Below are 23,542 nucleotides of genomic sequence, written 5' to 3'. Positions count from 1 at the left end.
AATTCACCAACATTTATGAGGCTTTCACAAAGGGATTACCATGTATCATAATATTACTTGTTGGGAAAGACATAGTGCAGACTTCTGTCAAGAATCTCAAATCACTTTTTTTATCCACTTATAAGAAAAATCAAATTGAAAACAGATGCAACTCGTTGTATTAGAAAATACAGATACTACCAATATGTGAATAAAAGTAGATCACTGCAAGCTACAGAATGTACCATAAGTGCAGTTTCTGGCTTCTCAGGGTGCCAGATACAAGAAAATTAAAAATCTGTAATTGTCTAACTATAAGAAAAGTTCTCATGAGATTAGAAATGATCTTCTATTATAAAGAAAAAAGAATAAAACTAGAATAATGTGAGAGCCTACAAATTATGCATTTTTATCAACACAAAAGCTTTTTAAATCCCTAGATAACTGTTTATATAGTACATTAAATGTTTTAATATAAAAATGGTTCTCTGACAATTTGTAACAGTTTATATCTACAAAGGGCCTCTGAGACCATCTAATCCATCTCCTTAATTTGATAGATGAGGAAACTGATATTTGAGAGTTCTCGTACCTTTAAAACTCTAACAAGTTGGATTCTGGCTCAATAGTTATATTTTTACATAATTCCCTTGTATAGTCTCATAAAGATTTTGCAGCCCATGCTATAACCAATGCTTAAAAATAGTCCATATATCTACTCAACTCTAAAATAAGATACAACTATAGTTTTAAAGCACAAAACCATCACACATTATTATGAATGATAAGACATTAGGAATAGAAGTGAAGTCAATTTTTACATACATATTCGTGAACAGAACTTGAAGAATAGCTTTGTTTGGAAGAGCATTTCTTATGTAATGCATTACATCCAAATGAATTTCCCCAGGACATCCTTTGTCTTCCTGGCAAGAAAGGGGAAGTATGGTGAGGTGTTCAATACAGTTTGCAATTATGCCTTTATTAGTATTTTTGTGGTTGCTGTTGTTATTTTTTATCCGACTTTCCTTCTAAATTGTAAGTTCTATGAGGGCAGACACCATAGCTGATTTGTTCACTACTATCGTCCCTGAACCTAATATAGTACATGAAATATAGAAGATTCCTGATTAAATATGTGTGGGAGGGAGAGATAAAAGAAGAAAGAAAAGGACAAGAGAGAGAGAAAATGGGAGGGAGGGAAGAATTTTATATCAGGTCTTTCCCTGGAGTTAAATGTGTGCTAAAAGGCAGTATTTTGTCCATGTGCAATTGTGACACAGTCCTTTCTCAGCACTGAATTTTCTGCATTGAAGCTGAATAGAGTTCAAACTTGTATGCATGGTTTTAAATGTTAGCATCACATTGTATTTAATTTTTATTTTATTTAGTTGGTTAGCTTAGGATTTTTAAATGCAAAGGAAAATTTCACAGAATTAAGCCAGTTTTTAAGAAATGCAAAAATGCATGCATTTTTCTCAGTCACACTGGATAGAGATTTTTCAAGCTCAGTGATGGTAGAAAGTTGATTAGGTGTAAATGCATCCATCTGGTAAGTGAAGCCTGATCTAGAAAAAAAATTGTGTAAAATTGACACTAACACCTGCAAGCATACAGTAGTGCTTATTAGATGATGGATACTTCTTAAAGTCTTATATTGATCTTCACAACTGCCATTTGCATAGGTACATAGCTACAATTATTTCCATTTTACAGATGAATAAAAATGAGTGATACATGCCAAAGTTCATAAGATATACAGCTAATAAGAAGGCAGCATTTGCCTGTTGATCCCATAATCTTGTCTTTCACTTTCTATTTTCTGAGTTAGCATTAGGAAAAAAATGACAATTTTCAAGAGTGAATCTGAAATAATATCTAGTGAAAAACAAAAATTTAATGCAGGTGTTTTTAAAATGAAATGCATGCCAAACATAATGAATAGATTAGCTGTATATTTTTATCACTATTTTGGCACCAAATTGTTAAGAGTTACACTATATAAAAATATTAAAGCCTTTAAATCTATATGGTATTTGATATGAAAAAGATTTGCCACATTTCCAAAACAATCATTTTGTAGTAAACCCTATGTTATAGCAATGGCAGGCTTTACAAACCTCCAACCTGGCTAAGAGAGATTCCCCTCTGGATAACCAGAAGAGCCTATCTCTCTGGGTTCAAATTCATTCCTATCCTGCAGTATAGCATAGAGCCTATGCTTCCAATTTTGCTTAGAAGTCACTAAGCATTTATTGAGCACCCAGGTGGGAATATGATGGAGGAACTCAGAGATTTGAATCTGTCGTTCATTTGAAAGATTCAGGTCACTGATCTAATGGAATTTAAAGCCATGAATCCCCTTGCAGACCCTGTCCACAAGAACTTAGACAAAGGAAGATATACATCATCCCGTGAAAATAAACTTAAACATCAATATATAATGGCTCAGAAAAGAGCCTGGGAGCAAGTCTCCCCTTGTCCTGATGCTGGCAAATTTCAGATGATGATTTGCTCTTTGTACGTGTGCCTATAGAGAGGAAATGTATTATTTGTGCCAACACAAGTGTTCTAGACTTGCAAGCAATTCGATTTCTCATGGTAGATGAATGAGCTGGCATTCAGATTTTATACAGCACTCCTCTAAGTTTGGTTAGTTCAAGTCTATTCCTGAGGATGGATCCACTCAGACAGAGGCTGACAAATCCAGTGTCATGGTTGGCAGATTTAGCTAATCCACCAAGAAATATCACCACTTGAGACTTTTGAGAGGGTCTTCCCCTGATAATACCCATTTATATTACTCTTTGGGTGTTGTGTACCTATTTAATTTAGAAAATTCTACAGTGAGTTTTAACAATAGTAAGTGCTCATAAACAAGTGTGGCTGGTGATGTGTTGTATAGCCATAAATGCTCATGCTAAAGGTAGGCAAAATAAGAAATAATTTACAGGATTTAAAAAAAAAACAGACTTTCTGCTGGAACTAAAATTTTACTCAGTTTATATAGAGGATAAACTATTCTCTGGAGGAGCTTAGAAATTGGAATGGCTTAGAAAATTTGGGCTCAGTGGGGACTCTAGAGGGGATTAGTGAAAAGAGGAACTCTCAATTTCAACTCAATGAGCACCCAATACTCATGTAAAACTTCCACACCTTCTACATGATCAAAGTTTTATAATACACAACAGCCGAAAAAAATAAAAGCACACTTTAGACATTTATGAACAGTGAAATCATTCCTGCTAGTTATTTTAAAGTGTCAAGGTATATTTCATTAATTTATCTTTATAAAATTTTTGTGTCACAATTTCAGTGTGTTACAAATGAGAGAGAAAATTTAGCTTGCCAGAAAAATATGTTTTATTTAAAATAATACAAATACAGAAAATTAACTTTTGTCATTCATGTCTCTCACTGAATCTTTTTTTTGTTTGCTTGGGTTTTTTGCTTGCTTGTTTCACATGTTTTTTTTTTCTTCTTCTACTAAATACCTATTTTAGAATGGCCAAATCTCAGTGAGTTCAATTCTTCCATTGAAACTTTCTAGTTTTAAAAGGAAAAAAGTTATAAAAATACATAGATACATACATTCATATGCATACACACATACATGTAGACATATGTATATACATACATATATGCCAGTTATGGTCTTATCGCTGGCTACCTGGAAAGCAGGAAAAAACTTCAAACCACACTTAGGCTACGAGTAACAAAAACAACCCCTAGTTAGGGAGGCACGTAAGCATTATTGATATTACAGGTTACTAGCCCTGACTCTTTCTCCTCATTCATACCCTTTATTTATTTACCTATCCATATATGCATACACACTCACACATTTAATAAGGTATACAGGTATAGTAGTTACATAAAACACTATTGCACATATATTTGAAATGGTGAATCTGGACTCCATGAATAGCTTCAGGGTCATCTATGAAATCTCTAAAATCATTTGCAAAATTAGATAGATAGATAGATAGATAGATAGATAGATAGATAGATAGATAGAGATAGATAGATAGATAGATAGATAGAGACATAGCACATGGGAGGAAGGGTCATAGTTTGGCCAGATTTTCATAGGGAGATGGGAGGGACAGTTTAGAAAACAACTTTACAGAGGTATCCTCTCTTCCATAAAACAGTCTTTTACATTACTAAACAAAAAAAAAATTTATATAAAAAAAGTATCTGAATATCTTATTTAAAATAGATAAGTTAGAATGTGAAATAATTCACACTGCAAAGGATTCCTCAATTCATAAATGGATATAGGCTCCTTCCAAGTGTTTTTATAGTTATTAAATAAAAAATTAAGAGAAGAAGAAACTATGAGCTAAAGTATTACAGAGTACTAGAATAATTTTTAATTTTTAATGACTAAGAAAAGTAGATGTTCATATGTTCTAATCTGCTCTTCCCACCCCCAACATATACTGGAAGGATGTAAAAATACAAAATTGTCTGGTTTATACTTGACATGTAGAAATCCTATTAGTCCCTTTTAGCATATATAAAGGTTAGAAAAATCCTTCCTAAAAGACCTCAAAATATAGACCTCATTTCAAAGAACAATTTAGTACAGTCTACGATCTGGTTTTTAGGTTTAGGCACTTAATTTCAACTGGGATTAGGTCTATTTTGGGGAGAACTTATTCTTTGGTACAGATACACATGTATTGAACCCAAAAGGCTTTTAATGTCAGTGAGGAAGAATCATTGACTAACCCATTGGCTTCTGGAGGCAAAGTTATGCTGGAAACTAAAGCATAACTGGATCATTGTTTTGATGGCTACCATTTAAACAGCACTTACATGCTAAGCTCCATGCGAAGAACGTTACAAATTTTACCTCATTCAATTTTTTCTGTATTCTATAAATATTAATATTTACTTTTTCAGTAAATTACAGATTTCTAGTAAGTATAAAACTCAAAAAAGGCATAGGACTCTAAATCTTATTCCCTTAACCATTGTAACATTATAACATGTGGTGAATTTCTTTGTATGTCCATCACCCCTCATTTCTACCTTTGAAAGAAACTTCAGTTCCAACTGGCCCAGAAAAAGAAAGAAAAAAGAAGGAAATAAGGAAGGGAAGAAGAAAGAGAGAGAGTTGGGAGAGAAGGAAACAAATACATTTTTAGATTTTGTGCTGCTAAGGGCCTAGGTCGTAATAATTTAAGGGTGATTCAACAGATTTTGAGTATAATTGTGACTATGTAATTAACAAATTGCGTCCTGGCTTAAGGTGCAACCCCCATTTAGAATATAAATCCATTGTCCTGTCATGTGCCTATTGGGTTTAGAAATAATATAGATGAAGTGATTTAGATGCATTAAACATTTAATAGAATTTTCTTTATTAAATTAATTTCCCAATAGAAGTGCTGGTTGAGGCTCCCTCACTTTCAGACAGAAGTTGGATGGGAACTACCAACATTTACCTTCATGACTTAACTGTTCTTATGCTTTCCTGTTGGTTTGCACTCATTTTGATTGACATACTCTTTAGATACTTTAACATATTCAATCAAGTTTTAGGCAAGTTTCATCAATTTCTGGGCCCTTCGGACAATAAAAGGAACCTTTTGTATATCTCTACTCTGATTATGTCTTGATCCTAAAGTGAAGTTCTCAATATCTCATCATATTCTCTGTATTTCCAAATAGCCTCCTAATATACTAATAATCTCTTCAAAAACAAGGAGCTTTAGGAAGTATACATTCAAATGTCATATAATAGAGCATATAATAGTGCATTGGATAGGCAGATAAATTGGAGGATTCCAAAGGTCCAATCATTTCAGATGTTCCATGAGGCATAAATACTAGTGGCAATATATGTTTTAGGCAGTCTAAAAGATGAGCCATCTATGTGGACTAAAATTATTGGGAAATACTTTATAGAGATGGTAAAAATGCAACATTATATGGCTTTTAAAATCTGGCACCACGCACAAAAATCTCACTAACACTAACTCTTTCCAGATCCCCTCTAATCTTTATAAAGGACATTTCGATTTATATGACAACCTGGATTTTACTGGTAACATTAGCAATAATATAGGTGAATATTCAGCAGTTGCCAGATATCTTTAATAAATTACAGCAAAACTTTATAGCTCTCACAACTAAATCATCACTCCAGAGATGGTAGTTGGAAACAACTGTACAAATCTTAGAAATCCTATGGGAAAAGAAAAAAGTAAAGCAAGAATCCAAATTTTGGAAGTAAATGAAAGCAATGGATTAAATCAGAGAAAGTCAGACTCATCAGCATACCAAAAGGTAATCCAGATGCCTGGAAAAGGGAGAGTTTGAAAAGTAAAGAAGAAACAGAGGCAGGAGGACATTTTCAACATGTTGAGGAAGAGAGGAGAAAAAAAGGAAAAGAAAAAAGCATCCAACCCATAGGCTTGTTAGGGTCTTTGAAAAAAATATTGTTTCTATTTATTTTAAATCTAATTATCACAATATATTAACAACTCAAGAATGAGACAGATGTATGGCCTGTAAAGGGGTTTCATATTAAGTCAATGAACATTTAAGTATGGTCTCACCAAATAGTGGGTTCTGTGCTAGATACACAAAGGTGACAAAGTATGTTGCCTGCCTGTAGTAACTTACAGTGCCAAATTAGAACACACATTCATTTGGGATTTGCCATTAGAAACTAGGATAACATCTTCTCTCTGTTTTACCACTGCTAAACAGTGTTGTGAACAGGAGAACTGTTCTGTATCTCCAACTGGAGGGCAACAGAGAGAAGTCTCAGCAAAAGATAACAGAACATAAATGTTCTCCAAAATCCCTTCTATTCAGTGACAGATCTGGGTTGTGAGAGCCTCAAGCTTACATAACTGGGAAGTCCTTAAGAAATACGAAATTATAAAGAGTTACCTCAAGTGAGAAAATAGTTTACATAAATTTCAAATTGTTAAAAGTCGACAAATACTGCAAATTTCACAAAATCTAGAAATTAAGAACAATTTTGTTAACATCTGACAAGAGTCTATGGCATTTTTTTCGCTGCATTTTTGGTTGTATAATCTTTGAATGTCTATTACTATGACAAAAAAATTGTAATATTCTCTACAGAAATAACAGAAAGATAATTTTTATTCTTTTCCAGGAACCTTCAAAACTTTCAACTTCACCCATAGCTATGCTTGTGTTTATAGTACTGATAGAAATTTGGGTCCAAAAAAATAGCGAACATCGCCCCAGTGTCACTGGACACTAAGGAACATGTACTAGAGGAGAAGTTGAGGGAGATAATGGTCTATCATAGCTTAAATATCTTACTTCTGCAAAATTCCCCCTCAATTTGTAACTCTGTAAACACATTTTATTACCCTTTTTAGAGACTTGGAAGGGGTCCACACAAAAGAAGGGCCCTGAAGCTTAAGTTTTATTGCCTTCACTCAATCTCCATTCACCTCCATTCTTTGGATCACACATTGATTGCAACCCATTTACCACACCAATCAAATGGCAATCATCAATGTCTGATTTTTTTTTTTTTTAGCTGTCTGAAGACCAGTCAATGGTGAGTTTCAATATCTTCTTCACTTTTCAGTAGCTGTAGACACAATCACATTTTTAGACTTAACTGTTGAGTAAATGAACAAGGCCCATTTAAAGTAACTGGCATTAGGTTCTACAAAATCTCTAAAATGAACTAAACTAGATATGTATACCTCTCCAGAGCAGGCTCCGTGGACCTTCTTGTCATCAGAATACTTGCTTCTGGGTTCCTTCCTGAGCTGAAATCTAGGATTTGTTGCTTGGATGCAGGATCTACAAAAGCATTCTGTGCTATTAGGACCAGGGTTCATTGAGACCCTGACCATCTACCAAGACACCTATGAGCTAGGACCCATCTCCCTTGATGTAGGTGGTACTTCTATTAAAATCGCTATCTTTCTAGTTAAAAAAAAAGTCTGCTTACAGTTTAATTGGCATTGTTACTTTTGCTGTTAGCAAATTTCCAAGACTTCATTCTTTTTCAGACAATAGACAGGGTTCTGATCTCCTGACTCTGGAAGTAATGGAGTGAACAGTTCAGGACTCTCTCTCAACTTCCTGACTTGCTCCTTCCTGTGGGTAGTGAAGTGACTAACCTTAGTGAATCTATTGCCCCAGATTAACCAGGAGAAGAGTCACTCCCCACAGTGATTTTGTCTCTGTCTCTCATTAGGACCTAATTAACTTTTAGCATCCCAGCCCCATCCAAGTCCTGTTCTCTGTATTACGCCCATAGGTGAAAGCTCCCTCTACAGGGGGAGGTCCACCACTTTCCAGCTTCAGTGCCTATGTCTGAGTGTTGTTGGGTAAATATGAAATAAGGCGTGAAACAGAAGATCCTTTCAAAACTGAAAAAATTCAGTTTTGCTATTAATACTATTATAATCCTTATTGAAAAAATTCTGCTTATTTCCTCCATTTTATAGGATCAACTGGAAAAATGGGTGGAGTGGATAGGTAATTAGTTTCCTGCAATCTTTAACATGCATAACAAGGAAAAGTAAATGCAAACATTCAGTCTAGAGGGGAGCAGATGAGTTAAATATCACAAGAGGGGACCTTATCTCTTAAAAGCTAGCTAACAATAGGAGAGAGAACATCCTTTGGGATCAAGAGTGGCTAAACTATTTTAGGGGTTTATGGTCTAGTGGGGAAGACATATAAATACATAACAGAAAATGTATGTCAGGTGTAAAGGCAAAGAAGATGGTCAAATCTGGTTTATCTGGAAAGGTGACCAGGCATACTTGAGATTGAAAATTGAAGGATGAGCAGGATGCAAACGGATGAGCAGAGGGAGAACATCTGGGACAGAAGAAATAACATGTTCGAAGGCAATATAATAAGCCATATCAGAAAAGATACTAAAGTGTGTCATAGCTGGTGTGTGTGTACAGTGGTAAGTGATGAGGGTAGGGAGAACTTGCAAGTATGTGGCAGTCCTCACATGCTGTGCTGGATGGCAGATCTTACCCTGAAGATCTATGGAAGTCACTGAAGGAGTTCAGAAACAGGATGTTACATCAAGTTTGTATTTAAGAAGGATTCTACTGGAAGAATGTGGTGGAGGGATTGGGAGGGAAAGGCTGGAAGCAGAATGATCAGTAATGTGGCAGCTAGAACAGGCAAAAAATAAATAAATGATCAATAATGTGGCAGTTAGAATAGGTGTAAAATAAAGAAAAGTAGTAAAGAAACAATGACAGTGGAAATGAAGAAGAGAAAATAGATTCCAAAGATAGCTTAGATTCAGTGTTCCCTAGGTAGCAATTTAAACCAAGACAGAAAAAGAAGAAAAAGTCTAGAATGACTCAGCTTCCTAGCTTGAGAAGCAAAAGGAATGATGATGCCATTTAACTATGACCAGAATTACAAAAGGAAAGTTGGTTCAAGAGGCATCACCTTAAAAAATCAATACTTTGCCAATTAAAGGAAAAGAGAAAATTAAAACAGCATCAAGGTATATTTGAAATTTACTTCAGCCAAAATGTTATAACTGATTATGGATGATCATATTTTTTAAAAACTATTGAGAAGAAAACTCTTAAGTTATAGTATACCTACAAATCAAATAGCAGGTACACTCGTTCATTTTGTATTCCTTCACAACAGAGGTTTGCAAAACTATTCTATTCATGACTATTAGACCCATGTATATATTAGAACGATTAGGAGAATGCCAGTTCCTCTATGATTATCTAACACTGAGATTCAGCTTGACCAAAGTTTTGAGGCATCCGTTCCAAGGATCTTTCTGTTTCTCTGCTTAGCACAAATGAAATACATTATTTTATATTACCTCTTCATTTTCAAATTTTGTATTAAAATGTTTTATCATAACAGTAATAAATTCTATGTAAACATGTAAAATAAAGAATCATAGAAAAATAACACATTATTGTACTACCTGCAAATAATTATCTTCAATATTTTGGTCTTTCTTTCCATACGTATATGGGTGTACACGTGAGTTTTTGTGTGTTCTTACACACAGGTTTATTATACTATACATATAATGTTTACCCTTCTTATTTCAATACATACTTATTAATACTATGTATTCACCCATCTAGTAGACATTTGGGAATGCAAAAGACATTAAAAAGAGTTCATGTCCTAAAACATATTTTGGAATTATTAAATGAGACTGGCCGGGCGCGGTGGCTCATGCCTATAATCCCAGCACTTTGGGAGGCCGAGGGAGGCAGATCACAAGGTCAGGAGATCGAGACCATCCTGGCTAACACCGTGAAACCCTGTCTCTACTAAAAATATAAAAAAGTTAGCCGGGCATGGTGGCGGGCGCCTGTAGTCCCAGCTACTCAAGAGGCTGAAGCAGGAGAATGGTGCGAACCTGGGAGGCAGAGCTTGCAGTGAGCCGAGATTGCGCCACTGCACTCTAGCCTGTGCGACAGAGAGACTCCATCTCAAAAAAAAAAAAATTATTAAATGAGACTATAACAACATATTTAAGGTTGGAGTTAGGGAACAAACCAAATGTGGCAATTTATAAGTTATGAATTAATCAGTGTCTTACTTACCAAGGAAAGGGCAAATCCTAACACTGTGTATTCTTTACCCAATGACAATGTAAGAAAGGTCTTACACATGCTCATTCAGTATGAGGCTCTTAACATGCACTCCATCACTACCTGGTTGTACTCAGCACTTTGAGTTTCCACATCACAAAAGAAATATTTGGAAATTCATCATGGTTACATAAACCTGCACTGATCCCTTGGTGATTTTCTAAGGCCTTGCTTGTTTTGTAAATGAAACATTGTGACAGACAGAAGGGAATAGTCCTTTCTCATTTCTGAGTCATAATTAATTATTATTGTAATTAGCCACACACTCTGTACAAACTTCTGGAATTAAATATACTGAAGTCAGCACCTTTAATTTTAGAACAATTAAGAAATACAGCTTTATGATTCAGTAAGAGACCAAATGTCTTGGCCTGAACATTCCTGAGTAGGAAAGAATATCGCCAAGAAAAATGACTACAGTATTGCTCTCAGCAATCACAGGATAAAGAAATGGAAGTATAGGATAATTATCTAATACTCAAAACCCACAAAATATCTTGGAACATACAAAAAATCACTAAGAACTATTAATTCATTAGGGATTTAATGCAAAGATTTTAAACCATGGCTTTTACTTGCAACATATATTTACAAATAGATAGTTGCAGCATCGGTGAGGTTCAAATGTTTTATTTCTAACTTTATTTTCCAGTAAACAATGCTAGTATTAATTGTAAATATGTGTAACAAAAAATAACAAATAATATTAATCTAAGGAAGTAATCAACAAAATGTTAAGTCACCCCCAACTCCCAGGCATTCACATAACTAACTCGTGACTCAGAAGTTAGGAAAGCCAAATTGATAACTCTAGAGACTAAATAAAATGGTCAGTAGATTTCCACAAAGCTAAAAGTAATTGTAGTTAAATATCAACAGAAAGATATTGCCAGAAACTACCCAAACTACCGTGTCAGGAAAAAAAACAAAAATGAGTAATGGTAACAGCTTCAGTAATTATTTTCATGTGAATCCTATAGCTCAATCTAAAGTACTTGTCTTCTATAATTGTCACCATATTTCTCAAAGAAAATCCAAAATCTTTGTTGGAAGCTTTTCTAAACCTATACAAAAAAAATAAATAAAATAATCATACGATACACATCTACTAGAATGGCTAAAATGAAAAAGACAGAAAACACCAAATGTTGGTGCAGAGGTAGAACAGCCAGGATTCTTATACATGGGTGACAGGAATGTAAATGGAAACAACTTTGGAAAAAGGTTACATGGCATCTGCTAAGGATGAACAATCATGCCCAGTGATCCATCTTTCCCACTTCTAGATACAGATCCAAGAAAAATTAGTACATTTGTATAACAAATGAAATGTCCTAGAATGTTCTGAACAATGCTATTTGCATTAGACCAAAACTGGAAATTACCCATGTATATATCAACAGTGGAATGGAGAAATAGACTGTGGTATATTCATAAAATAGAATACTATACATCAATGAGAATGAACCATCTACAACTATATGCAATGATGTGGCTGAATCTCACAAACTTAATGTTGAACAAAAGAAGCCAGCAACTGAAGTGTACTGTATGATTTCATTTATACGAAGGACACAATTTGCCAAATTAATCTATGTTATTTTTGTTGTTTTTTTCTGTTTTTTTGTTTTGTTTTTTTTGTTTTTGTTTTTGTTTTTTTTGACACGGAGTCTCGCTCTGTAGCCCAGGATAGAGTGCAGTGTTGCGATCTTGGCTCACTGCAAGCTCTGCCTCCCGGGTTCACGCCATTCTCCTGCCTCAGCCTCCAGAGTAGCTGGGACTACAGGGGCCCGCCACTACGCCTGGCTAATTTTTTGTAATCTATGTTTTTTGATGACAGTATAATGATAAACCATGTGACCAGAAGACAGTATGAAGGACGGTTTTATGGAGTCCTGGTAATGTACTGTTTCTCAGTCTGAGTGCTAGCTATCCAGGATATGTTGAGTTTGTGAAAATGTATTAAGCTGTATGCTTATGTGCACTTTTCTGTATGTATATAATTCTTCAATGAAAAGTTTAAAATAAAAGAAAAATAACAATAATTCATAAAAGCACTTTTCTAACCAAGCATGTTTTTTATATTTGTCAAGTTTAATTTAATTAAAATAGTTTCACTAATTGAATCAAAGAAGCTCAAGTACATATCTGATGCTGTAGTGTATTCTAAGGGAGTAAGATGGAAAAAAAACGTTTCCGTGGTAGCAAAATTTACAATGATGCTGGGCAATATACCACACACTCGGGAAACCATTAGGAAACAATAAATAATTGTAATATTAATTGTTAATATAAATATGTTAATACAGTACACACTGATTTTCCAACTCTTAAAACACCATAAATTTTAAAATGCACCATTATTTTCTGTGCCAGTCAGAAAGGCAAAACACTTCCAATCAACCTATATAATACGCCACTGATTGTAAAATAAATTTCAGGCTTTTAAGTCTCCCCAAGTGGAGGAGCCAAGATGGCCGAATAGGAACAGCTCCAGTCTACAGCTCCCAGCCTGAGCAACGCAGAAGATGGGTGATTTCTGCATTTCCATCTGATGTACCGGGTTCATCTCACTAGGGAGTGCCAGACAGTGGGCACAGGTCACTGGGTGCAGGCACCGTGCGTGAGCCGAAGCAGGGCGAGGCATTGCCTCACTCAGGAAGTGCAAGGGGTCAGGGAGTTCCCTTTCCTAATCAAAGAAAGGGGTAACGGACGGCACCTGGAAAATCGGGTCACTTGCACCCGAATACTGCGCTTTTCCGACCTGCTTAAAAAACGGCGCACCACGAGATTATATCCCGCACCTGGCTTGGAGGGTCCTACCCCACGGAGTCTCGCTGATTGCTAGCACAGCAGTCTGAGATCAAACTGCAAGGCGGCAGCGAGGCTGGGGGAGGGGCGCCCGCCATTGACCAGGCTTCCGTAGGTAAACAAAGCAGCCTGGAAGCTCGAACTGGGTGGAGCCCACCACAGCTCAAGGAGGCCTGCCTGCCTCTGTAGGCTCCACCTCTGGGGGCAGGGCACAGACAAACAAAAAGACGGCAGTAACCTCTGCAGACTTAAATGTCCCTGTCTGACAGCTTTGAAGAGAGCAGTGGTTCTCCCAGTAGGCAGCTGGAGATCTGAGAACGGGCAGACTGCCTCCTCAAGTGGGTCCCTGACCCCCGACCCCCGAGCAGCCTAACTGGGAGGCACCCTCCAGCAGGGGCACACTGACACCTCACACTGCTGGGTACTCCAACAGACCTGCAGCTGAGGGTCCTGTCTGTTAGAAGGAAAACTAACAGACAGAAAGGACATCCACACCAAAAACCCATCTGTACATCACCATCATCAAAGACCAAAAGTAGATAAAACCACAAAGATGGGGAAAAAACAGAACAGAAAAACTGGAAACTCTAAAAATCAGAGCGCCTCTCCTCCTCCAAAGGAAGGCAGCTCCTCACCAGCAATGGAACAAAGCTGGACGGAGAATGACTTTGATGAGCTGAGAGAAGAAGGCTTCAGATGATCAAATTACTCTGAGCTACGGGAGGACATTCAAACCGAAGGCAAAGAAGTTGAAAACTTTAAAAAAAATTTAGAAGAATGTATAACTAGAATAACCAATACAGAGAGGTGCTTAAAGGAGCTGATGGAGCTGAAAACCAAGGCTCGAGAACTACGTGAAGAATGCAGAAGCCTCAGGACCCGATGCAATCAACTGGAAGAAAGGGTAACAGCGATGGAAGATGAAATGAATGAAATGAAGCGAGAAGGAAAGTTTAGAGAAAAAAGAATAAAAAGAAACGAGCAAAACCTCCAAGAAATGTGGGACTATGTGAAAAGACCAAATCTACATCTGATTGGTGTACCTAAAAGTGATGGGGAGAATGGAACCAAGTTGGAAAACAGTCTGCAGGGTATTATCCTGGAGAATTTCCCCAATCTAGCAAGGCAGGCCAACGTTCAGATTCAGGAAATAGAGAGAACGCCACAAAGATACTCCTCGAGAAGAGCAACTCCAAGACACATAATTGTCAGATTCACCAAAGTTGAAATGAAGGAAAAAATGTTAAGGGCAGCCAGAGAGAAAGGTCGGGTTACCCTCAAAGGGAAGCCCATCAGACTAACAGCGGATCTCTCGGCAGAAACTCTACAAGCCAGAAGAGAGTGGGGGCCAATATTCAACTTTCTTAAAGAAAAGAATTTTCAACCCAGAATTTCATATCCAGCCAAACTAAGCTTCATAAGTGAAGGAGAAATTAAATACTTTACAGACAAGCAAATGCTGAGAGATTTTGTCACGACCAGGCCTGCCCTAAAAGAGCTCCTGAAGGAAGCACTAAACATGAAAGGAACAACCGGTACCAGCCGCTGCAAAATCATGCCAAAATGTAAAGAACATCGAGACTAGCAAGAAACTGCATCAACTAACGAGCAAAATAACCAGCTAACATCATAATGACAGGATCAAATTCACACATAACAATATTAACTTTAAATGTAAATGGACTAAATGCTCCAATTAAAAGACACAGACTGGCAAATTGGATAAAGAGTCAAGACCCATCAGTGTGCTGTATTCAGGAAACCCATCTCACGTGCTGAGACACACATAGGCTCAAAATAAAAGGATGGAGGAAGATCTACCAAGCAAATGGAAAACAAAAAAAGGCAGGGGTTGCAATCCTAGTCTCTGATAAAACAGACTTTAAACCAACAAAGATCAAAAGAGACAAAGAAGGCCATTACATAATGGTAAAGGGATCAATTCAACAAGAAGAGCTAACTATCCTAAATATATATGCACCCAATACAGGAGCACCCAGATTCATAAAGCAAGTCCTGAGTGACCTACAAAGAGACTTAGACTCCCACACATTAATAATGGGAGACTTTAACACCCCACTGTCAACATTAGACAGATCAACGAGACAGAAAGTCAACAAGGATACCCAGGAATTGAACTCAGCTCAGCACCAAGCAGACCTAATAGACATCTACAGAACTCTCCACCCCAAATCAACAGAATATACATTTTTTTCAGCACCACACCACACCTATTCCAAAATTGACCACATACTTGGAAGTAAAGCTCTCCTCAGCAAATGTAAAAGAACAGAAATTATAACAAACTATCTCTCAGACCACAGTGCAATCAAACTAGAACTCAGGATTAAGAATCTCACTCAAAACCGCTCAACTACATGGAAACTGAACAACCTGCTCCTGAATGACTACTGGGTACATAACGAAATGAAGGCAGAAATAAAGAGGTTCTTTGAAACCAACGAGAACAAAGACACAACATACCAGAATCTCTGGGACACATTCAAAGCAGTGTGTAGAGGGAAATTTATAGCACTAAATGCCCACAAGAGAAAGCAGGAAAGATCCAAAATTGACACCCTAACATCACAACTAAAAGAACTAGAAAAGCAAGAGAAAACCCATTCAAAAGCTAGCAGAAGGCAAGAAATACCTAAAATCAGAGCAGAACTGAAGGAAATTGAGACACAAAAAACCTTTCAAAAAATTAATGAATCCAGGAGCTGGTTTTTTGAAAGGATCAAGAAAATTGATAGACCGCTAGCAAGACTAATAAAGAAAAAAAGAGAGAAGACTCAAATAGACGCAATAAAAAATGATAAAGGGGATGTCACCACCAATCCCACAGAAATACAAACTACCATCAGAGAATACTACAAACACCTCTAAGCTAATAAACTAGAAAATCTAGAAGAAATGGATAAATTCCTTGACACATACACTCTCCCAAGACTAAACCAGGAAGAAGTTGAATCTCTGAATAGACCAATAACAGGATCTGAAATTGTGGCAATAATCAATAGCTTACCAACCAAAAAGTGTCAAAGACCAGATGGATTCACAGCCGAATTCTACCAGAGGTACAAGGAGGAACTGGTACCATTCCTTCTGAAACTATTCCAATCAATAGAAAAAGAGGGAATCCTCCCTAACTCATTTTATGAGGCCAGCATCATTCTGATACCAAAGCCGGGCAGAGACACAACCAAAAAAGAGAATTTTAGACCAATATCCTTGATGAACGTTGATGCAAAAATCCTCAATAAAATACTGGCAAACCGAATCCAGCAGCACATCAAAAAGCTTATCCACCATGATCAAGTGGGCTTCATCCCTGGGATGCAAGGCTGGTTCAATATACACAAATCAATAAATGTAATCCAGCATATAAACAGAGCCAAAGACAAAAACCACATGATTATCTCAATAGATGCAGAAAAGGCCTTTGACAAAATTCAACAACCCTTCATGCTAAAAACTCTCAATAAATTAGGTATTGATGCGACATATTTCAAAATAATAAGAGCTATCTATGACAAACCCACAGCCAGTATCATACTGAATGGACAAAAACTGGAAGCATTCCCTTTGAATACTGGCACAAGACAGGGATGCCCTCTCTCACCACTCCTATTCAACATAGTGTTGGAAGTTCTGGCCAGGGCAATTAGGCAGGAGAAGGAAATAAAGGGTATTCAATTAGGAAAAGAGGAAGTCAAATTGTCCCTGTTTGCAGATGACATGATTGTATATCTAGAAAACCCCATCGTCTCAGCCCAAAATCTCCTTAAGCTGATAAGCAACTTCAGCAAAGTCTCAGGATACAAAATCAATGTGCAAAAATCACAAGCATTCCTATACACCAACAACAGACAAACAGAGAGCCAAATCATGAGTGAACTCCCATTCACAATTGCTTCAAAGAGAATAAAATACCTAGGAATCCAACTTACAAGGGATGTGAAGGACCTCTTCAAGGAGAACTACAAACCGCTGCTCAAGGAAATAAAAGAGGACACAAACAAATGGAAGAACATTCCATGCTCATGGGTAGAAAGAATCAATATCGTGAAAATGGCCATACTGCCTAAGGTAATTTACAGATTCAATGCCATCCCCATCAAGCTACCAATGCCTTTCTTCACAGAATTGGAAAAAACTACTTTAAAGTTCATATGGAACCAAAAAAGAGCCCGCATCGCCAAGTCAATCCTAAGCCAAAAGAACAAAGCTGGAGGCATCACGCTACCTGACTTCAAACTATACTACAAGGCTACAGTAACCAAAACAGCATGGTACTGGTACCAAAACAGAGAGATAGATCAATGGAACACAACAGAGCCCTCAGAAATAACGCCGCATATCTACAACTATCTGATCTTTGACAAACCTGAGAAAAACAAGCAATGGGGAAAGGATTCCCTCTTTAATAAATGGTGCTGGGAAAACTGGCTAGCCATATGTAGAAAGCTGAAACTGGATCCCTTCCTTACACCTTATACAAAAATTAATTCAAGATGGATTAAAGACTTAAACATTAGACCTAAAACCATAAAAACCCTAAAAGAAAACCTAGGCATTACCATTCAGGACATACGCATGGGCAAGGACTTCATGTCTAAAACACCAAAAGCAATGGCAACAAAAGACAAAATTGACAAATGGGATCTAATTAAACTAAAGAGCTTCTGCACAGCAAAAGAAACTACCATCAGAGTGAACAGGCAACCTACAAAATGGGAGAAAATTTTCGCAACCTACTCATCTGACAAAGGGCTAATATCCAGAATCTACAATGAACTCAAACAAATTTACAAGAAAAAAACAAACAACCCCATCAAAAAGTGGGCGAAGGACATGAACAGACACTTCTCAAAAGAAGACATTTATGCAGCCAAAAAACACATGAAAAAATGCTCATCATCACTGGCCATCAGTGAAATGCAAATCAAAACCACAATGAGATACCATCTCACACCAGTTAGAATGGCAATCATTAAAAAGTCAGGAAACAACAGGTGCTGGAGAGGATGTGGAGAAATAGGAACACTTTTACACTGTTGCTGGGACTGTAAACTAGTTCAACCATTGTGGAAGTCAGTGTGGCGATTCGTCAGGGATCTAGAACTGGAAATACCATTTGACCCAGCCATCCCATTACTGGGTATATACCCAAAGGACTATAAATCATGCTGCTATAAAGACACATGCACACGTATGTTTATTGCGGCATTATTCACAATAGCAAAGACTTGGAACCAACCCAAATGTCCAACAATGATAGACTGGATTAAGAAAATGTGGCACATATACACCATGGAATACTATGCAGTCATAAAAAATGATGAGTTCATGTCCTTTGTAGGGACATGGATGAAATTGGAAATCATCGTTCTCAGTAAACTATCGCAAGAACAAAAAACCAAACACCACATATTCTCACTCACAGGTGGGAATTGAACAATGATATCACATGGACACAGGAAGGGGAAAATCACACTCTGGGGACTGTTGTGGGGTGCGGGGAGGGGGGAGGGATAGCATTGGGAGATATACCTAATGCTAGATGACGAGTTAGTGGGTGCAGCACACCAGCATGGCACATGTATACGTATGTAACTAACCTGCACAATGTGCACATGTACCCTAAAACTTAAAGTATAATAATAAAAAATAAATAAATAAATAAATTTCATTTAAGAGCTATTGAATTATTTCACTGTTTAAAAACTGCTGCTTAGTATGGATGAGAAAATGTGTCATAACATATTTTCTGAAGAAATAGTAAGTACTGCAGACTTACTTACTAGGAAGTCAGACTAGGAAAGTGTACACATGGCAGGTGGACACTTGCAGGATTTATATACTAAGAGGGACAAAAGATGACCCTTGAAAGATGGAAAGGAAAGAAGTTAAAAGCTAAAAAGTGACGTTATTTCAGGTTAAGGAAGCAGAAGTGCCGAGGCAGCAAAGTACCCAGCATGTGTGGGGGCAGAAAAAAGCTAGCCTAATTAGAGTGGGGAATGGAGTATTAGGAAATACCTGGAGATACATTTGGATGGCAAGGTGAGGCCAGATTTTAGAAGGGCTGCAATTCCAACAAGAACTATTTGGACACCATTCAACTGGCAGTAGAATCGGTTTTTAGAACAGGGGCAGGGCGTGATGAAAGTGATATTTGAGGAAGCTTATCTTACTGGATTGGGTAGGGAAAAGTAGAAGTCAAGAAAAAATAAATTATTGCAGCAATCCAGGTGTGAAGTGATGAAGACTTGGGCAAGAGAGCTGACATTGGAGTGTATTAAATAAAATTTTCCATAATATATCTTTATGATACATTCCATATGTAAAACTAAATTTGATGTGGTAAACACAATTTTCTAAAAAAAAAAACTACATGCTTTTTCTTTTGCATTAAACATTTGATTTAAGATGAGAAAATCTGAATATATATTTTTATCTATAAATACAGTTTGTGCAAGTAAGAGATGAATTAAAAAGACTTATAATGAGAAACAAGTATCCTCAACCTTTTCAAAGGAGATGCATTCTAGCTTTATTTTCAAGTTTCATAGGACCTAAAGTTTCTTAAACACCTAACCAAAGAATCTCTTAGGTATTTATCTACTTAACTATGTATGTTGGATGTTTACTTCATTTAAATTATACATGACTATTAGTCATTCAGCATGTACACAATTGGGCTTTTCTTTCTGCTGTCTCTCTGTTTCTCTGTTTCCACCCACTCCCCTCATCTCTTTTTTTTTTTCTTCCAATAGAACACGCAGTAAAAAGGCTATAAGTATTTGAAGCTCTGAGCCCTGCATATTCTATTGGAAGAACACTGTAACCAGAGCAGAAAAAAGAGAGAGAGATGGTACAAAATCTGTAGTCTTCATCACTGAGTTATGTAAATGATGCTTATCTGTCTTTAGACAGAATATCAGGGACACAATAAGCATTTAGATACTTTTTTTAATTTAAAAAGGTAGATTTCCAATTGGTGAATCCTTATAGAATGTCTACAAAATTGTAAAGAGACTACTTTTAAATTAAATTTGGTATCATATACATGCCATGGAATCATTCCTTTGAGCCATAATACTATGAAAAGCACAGTATTACTGGCATAGCAGAAAAGACAATTGGAATCAATTTTTCCTTGGAAGTGTTATGAATTGCAGGGTAGATGACTGGCCACTATCCCTCCTTTATTCAGGGTAGATAATTAAATGAGATAATGTATCTGGCACTGGGAAATCAAATTATCTACTTCTCCAAAATCTTCTGATTCACCTAGTTATAGACATACAGTGATGTTTATAAATCTTAGTAACAGAGCAATAAGCAGTAAGCCTATACCTTAAGAAACCTAATTTAGAGGACTGAATATAGAAACATACTCCCTTACTATAGTGACATGTAGTGCAATCATACTAGTGGTTTAGAGAAAAGGAAAAAAAAAAACGTCAGGAAATTTGTCACTAAAGTAATTTTTAACACAGGTAATAAGGAAATAATATTTACCTATGTAACATGATAATTTCATAAAATAATTGGATCATATTATTCAGTTCTCTGCTTCAACTATAACACTCAATGGACATAAATATTGCCTAATGATTTTCAAAAACCATATAATCATGGTCTTTATGTCTGTATGCCTTTATATGAGCAAACTAGCTATTCTTGTACTTCCTCGGATGAGTTTGTGGAGATATTTTTCCTGTACAGTATCTTTATGAAGTAACTTAGTAATGTATCTTCATTCTTAAGAATAATGAATAATTTGTTTCTAATATACTGAATTCTTAATTCCTTTAATAACTTTTGCTCCTCTGAAATCCTCCAACTTTTCACAGTTCTCATGACAAACAAGGACCACTACCAAAAAAAAAACATAAAATGAAGGCATGTCCAAGGATGGCATTATAAACCTTTCCAAAAGATATATTAATGTAATTTTTCTTTTTAATTATTAATGCTCAACTTGATAACATTTTAAGAGTATACGTCTTCTGTTATTTGTAACTATACTATTTTACCAGTTTATACAAAACAATCATATTTTTGTCTCCAAAATCAATAATGTTCAATCCTTTGATACGATCAATGCCATTCTTTAAGCCATTTTTTCAGAATAATCAATATATAACGTAATAAAGTACAACTGCTCTGATTTTGAGATATCATGCTCTTTGCACTTTTCGCCTTCAGTCCCCCATGGGTCCTCTATAAAATATTCCTCACAAAGTGTGATCACCTTTCCCAAACAGGTAAATTGACTTAGTAACCTGTTTCAGACACATTCAAATCAATTTTGTTTCATGAGGGACTGCCAAGTTAGAAACTACCCTCCTACAAATAACTAAAGCCATTAGGCAAAATATAGAAAGTAACTTTTTTTAGACATAAGAGAGAGAATAGGATTGTTACCCTTGAGAGATAACAAAAAAGTGAGATGAGTTCAGGATTTCTAGCTGGAGGCAATTTCCAGCCTGGAAATATAATTGAGTTAAAAAGACAGAAATCTGAGTTAGGGGAAGCTGAAGCAGTTAGATTTTTAAGAGCAGAATTATAGATAAAAGGGAGCTATGAAGACAAGAGCGTCCAGATATCTGCATAAGGAGCTTTTTGATTCTTTGTCTAAATAACAATCTGTGCATGCAAAAGGTAAGCCCCATGAGGTTAAGAGAGAACCACTTTCTACAAAGGAAAAATTACATGAGATAAATAAGTTAAAAATTCCTAGAGTTCACACAGGACCAGTAATTACATGAGTTCTTTTCAGCCTCATTGAAATAATGAGACCTCATTGAATACATGGTGAAATTAGAGGAGGCCACAAAAGGGCCACATCTTATAAGTAGAACTAAATTATCCATGGAATAAAGGTATTTTTTAAAACTCATTCTATAAGAACTTTCTAAAAAGCCTCAAAGGATCAACCAAATCTACAAGTAACCCACTCCCTGTCATATAAAGTCCAATGATTTTTAAATGAACACAACAAAATCCAATACTCAACAATAACTAATATCTAGTCTACAATCCAAAATCACTAGACATACTAAAAAGCAAAAAAAAAAAAAAAAAAAAAAAAAATCATGACCTATATCTATTAATTGATTAACAAACCCTCAAGTGACAGAAATGATAGAACTAGCAACTAACAACATTAATTATGAGGGGAATCCAAATTAAAACCACAGTGAAATTAAAATACATTAGAATGACTAAATTTTAGAAATTGAAAATGCACAAGGAACCATACAGCAATGTTCATAGGAGCTTTATCCAAAATAAATAAGCACTAGAAACAATTCCAATATCCAACAACAAACAAATTGTGGTATAAACAAATTGTGGTATATCCATAAAATCAGATGCGCTAAGTAAAATGGAACCAACTAATGATACACACAATAACTTGGGTAAATTTCAAAAACATGATACTCAATTTAAAAATCTAGACCAAAAATTTCCATTTATATGAAATTTTTTAAAAGACTAAACCAATCAACTGAAGGAAAACAAATCAGTTGTCAACAGCCTGAATGACAGGGAGCAGAAGTGAGTGAAAGGGGGCATAAGGGAAGTTTTAAGGGTGGTTGAAATGTTCTGTATCATAATTGTAGTGGAATACATAAGCATATACATTTGTCAAAATGCACACTTAATATGAATGCATTTTGCATTTTAGTTCATGCAGCCAAATAATACTGGTAGAAAGTATTTTGTGAGTATTTTAGCATATATTGAAATCTGATTTATATCAACAAGAATACAAAGATAAATGTCATAAGCATGCTTTCTTTGTGTTCATAATGAAGTGAAAGACACACAAACACATATATATGTATATATTGTATTCACTCACTCATTCTTTTCATTATTCAAAAGCATAGTAATTGAACGTTACTTTAGGGTAAATTACTACAAGCATTTAAAGCAAAACCCTTGTCCTCCCTGCCCTTAGGAGCTCACAATCTGGCACTATAATAGAGATCAGAGAAATAAGACAGTATGATGAAAGAAAAGATAGATTCACGTAGGCACAAGAATTCAAGAGTCAGCTATGATGGAGGACTCTACCTTTTGCCATCTTTGTAAATGCTCTCCCT

The 23,542-nt window shown here is 36.0% G+C and overlaps 1 protein-coding gene across 4 annotated transcripts in view, besides 1 other annotated feature; it reads right to left on the bottom strand.

The window, feature by feature from the left end:
* HMCN1 (hemicentin 1) overlaps nucleotides 1–23,542 on the bottom strand; it is a 456,559-nt gene that overhangs the window by 284,547 nt on the left and 148,470 nt on the right. The gene's annotated exons all lie outside the window — the stretch shown is intronic.
* Nucleotides 21,819–22,019: a silencer, noted in NCBI's record as "peak511 fragment used in MPRA reporter construct". NCBI's record gives its function as "represses an SCP1 promoter by STARR-seq MPRAs in K562 erythroleukemia cells {active_cell/tissue: K562}" and the evidence as "EXISTENCE:reporter gene assay evidence [ECO:0000049][PMID:32103011]".

This window comes from Homo sapiens, chromosome 1 (genome assembly GCF_000001405.40).
Source record: "Homo sapiens chromosome 1, GRCh38.p14 Primary Assembly".
Taxonomy (NCBI): Eukaryota; Metazoa; Chordata; class Mammalia; order Primates; family Hominidae; genus Homo; species Homo sapiens.
The sequence above is the reverse complement of the archived record's forward strand: the minus strand, read 5'-3'. Positions and strand labels throughout refer to the sequence as shown.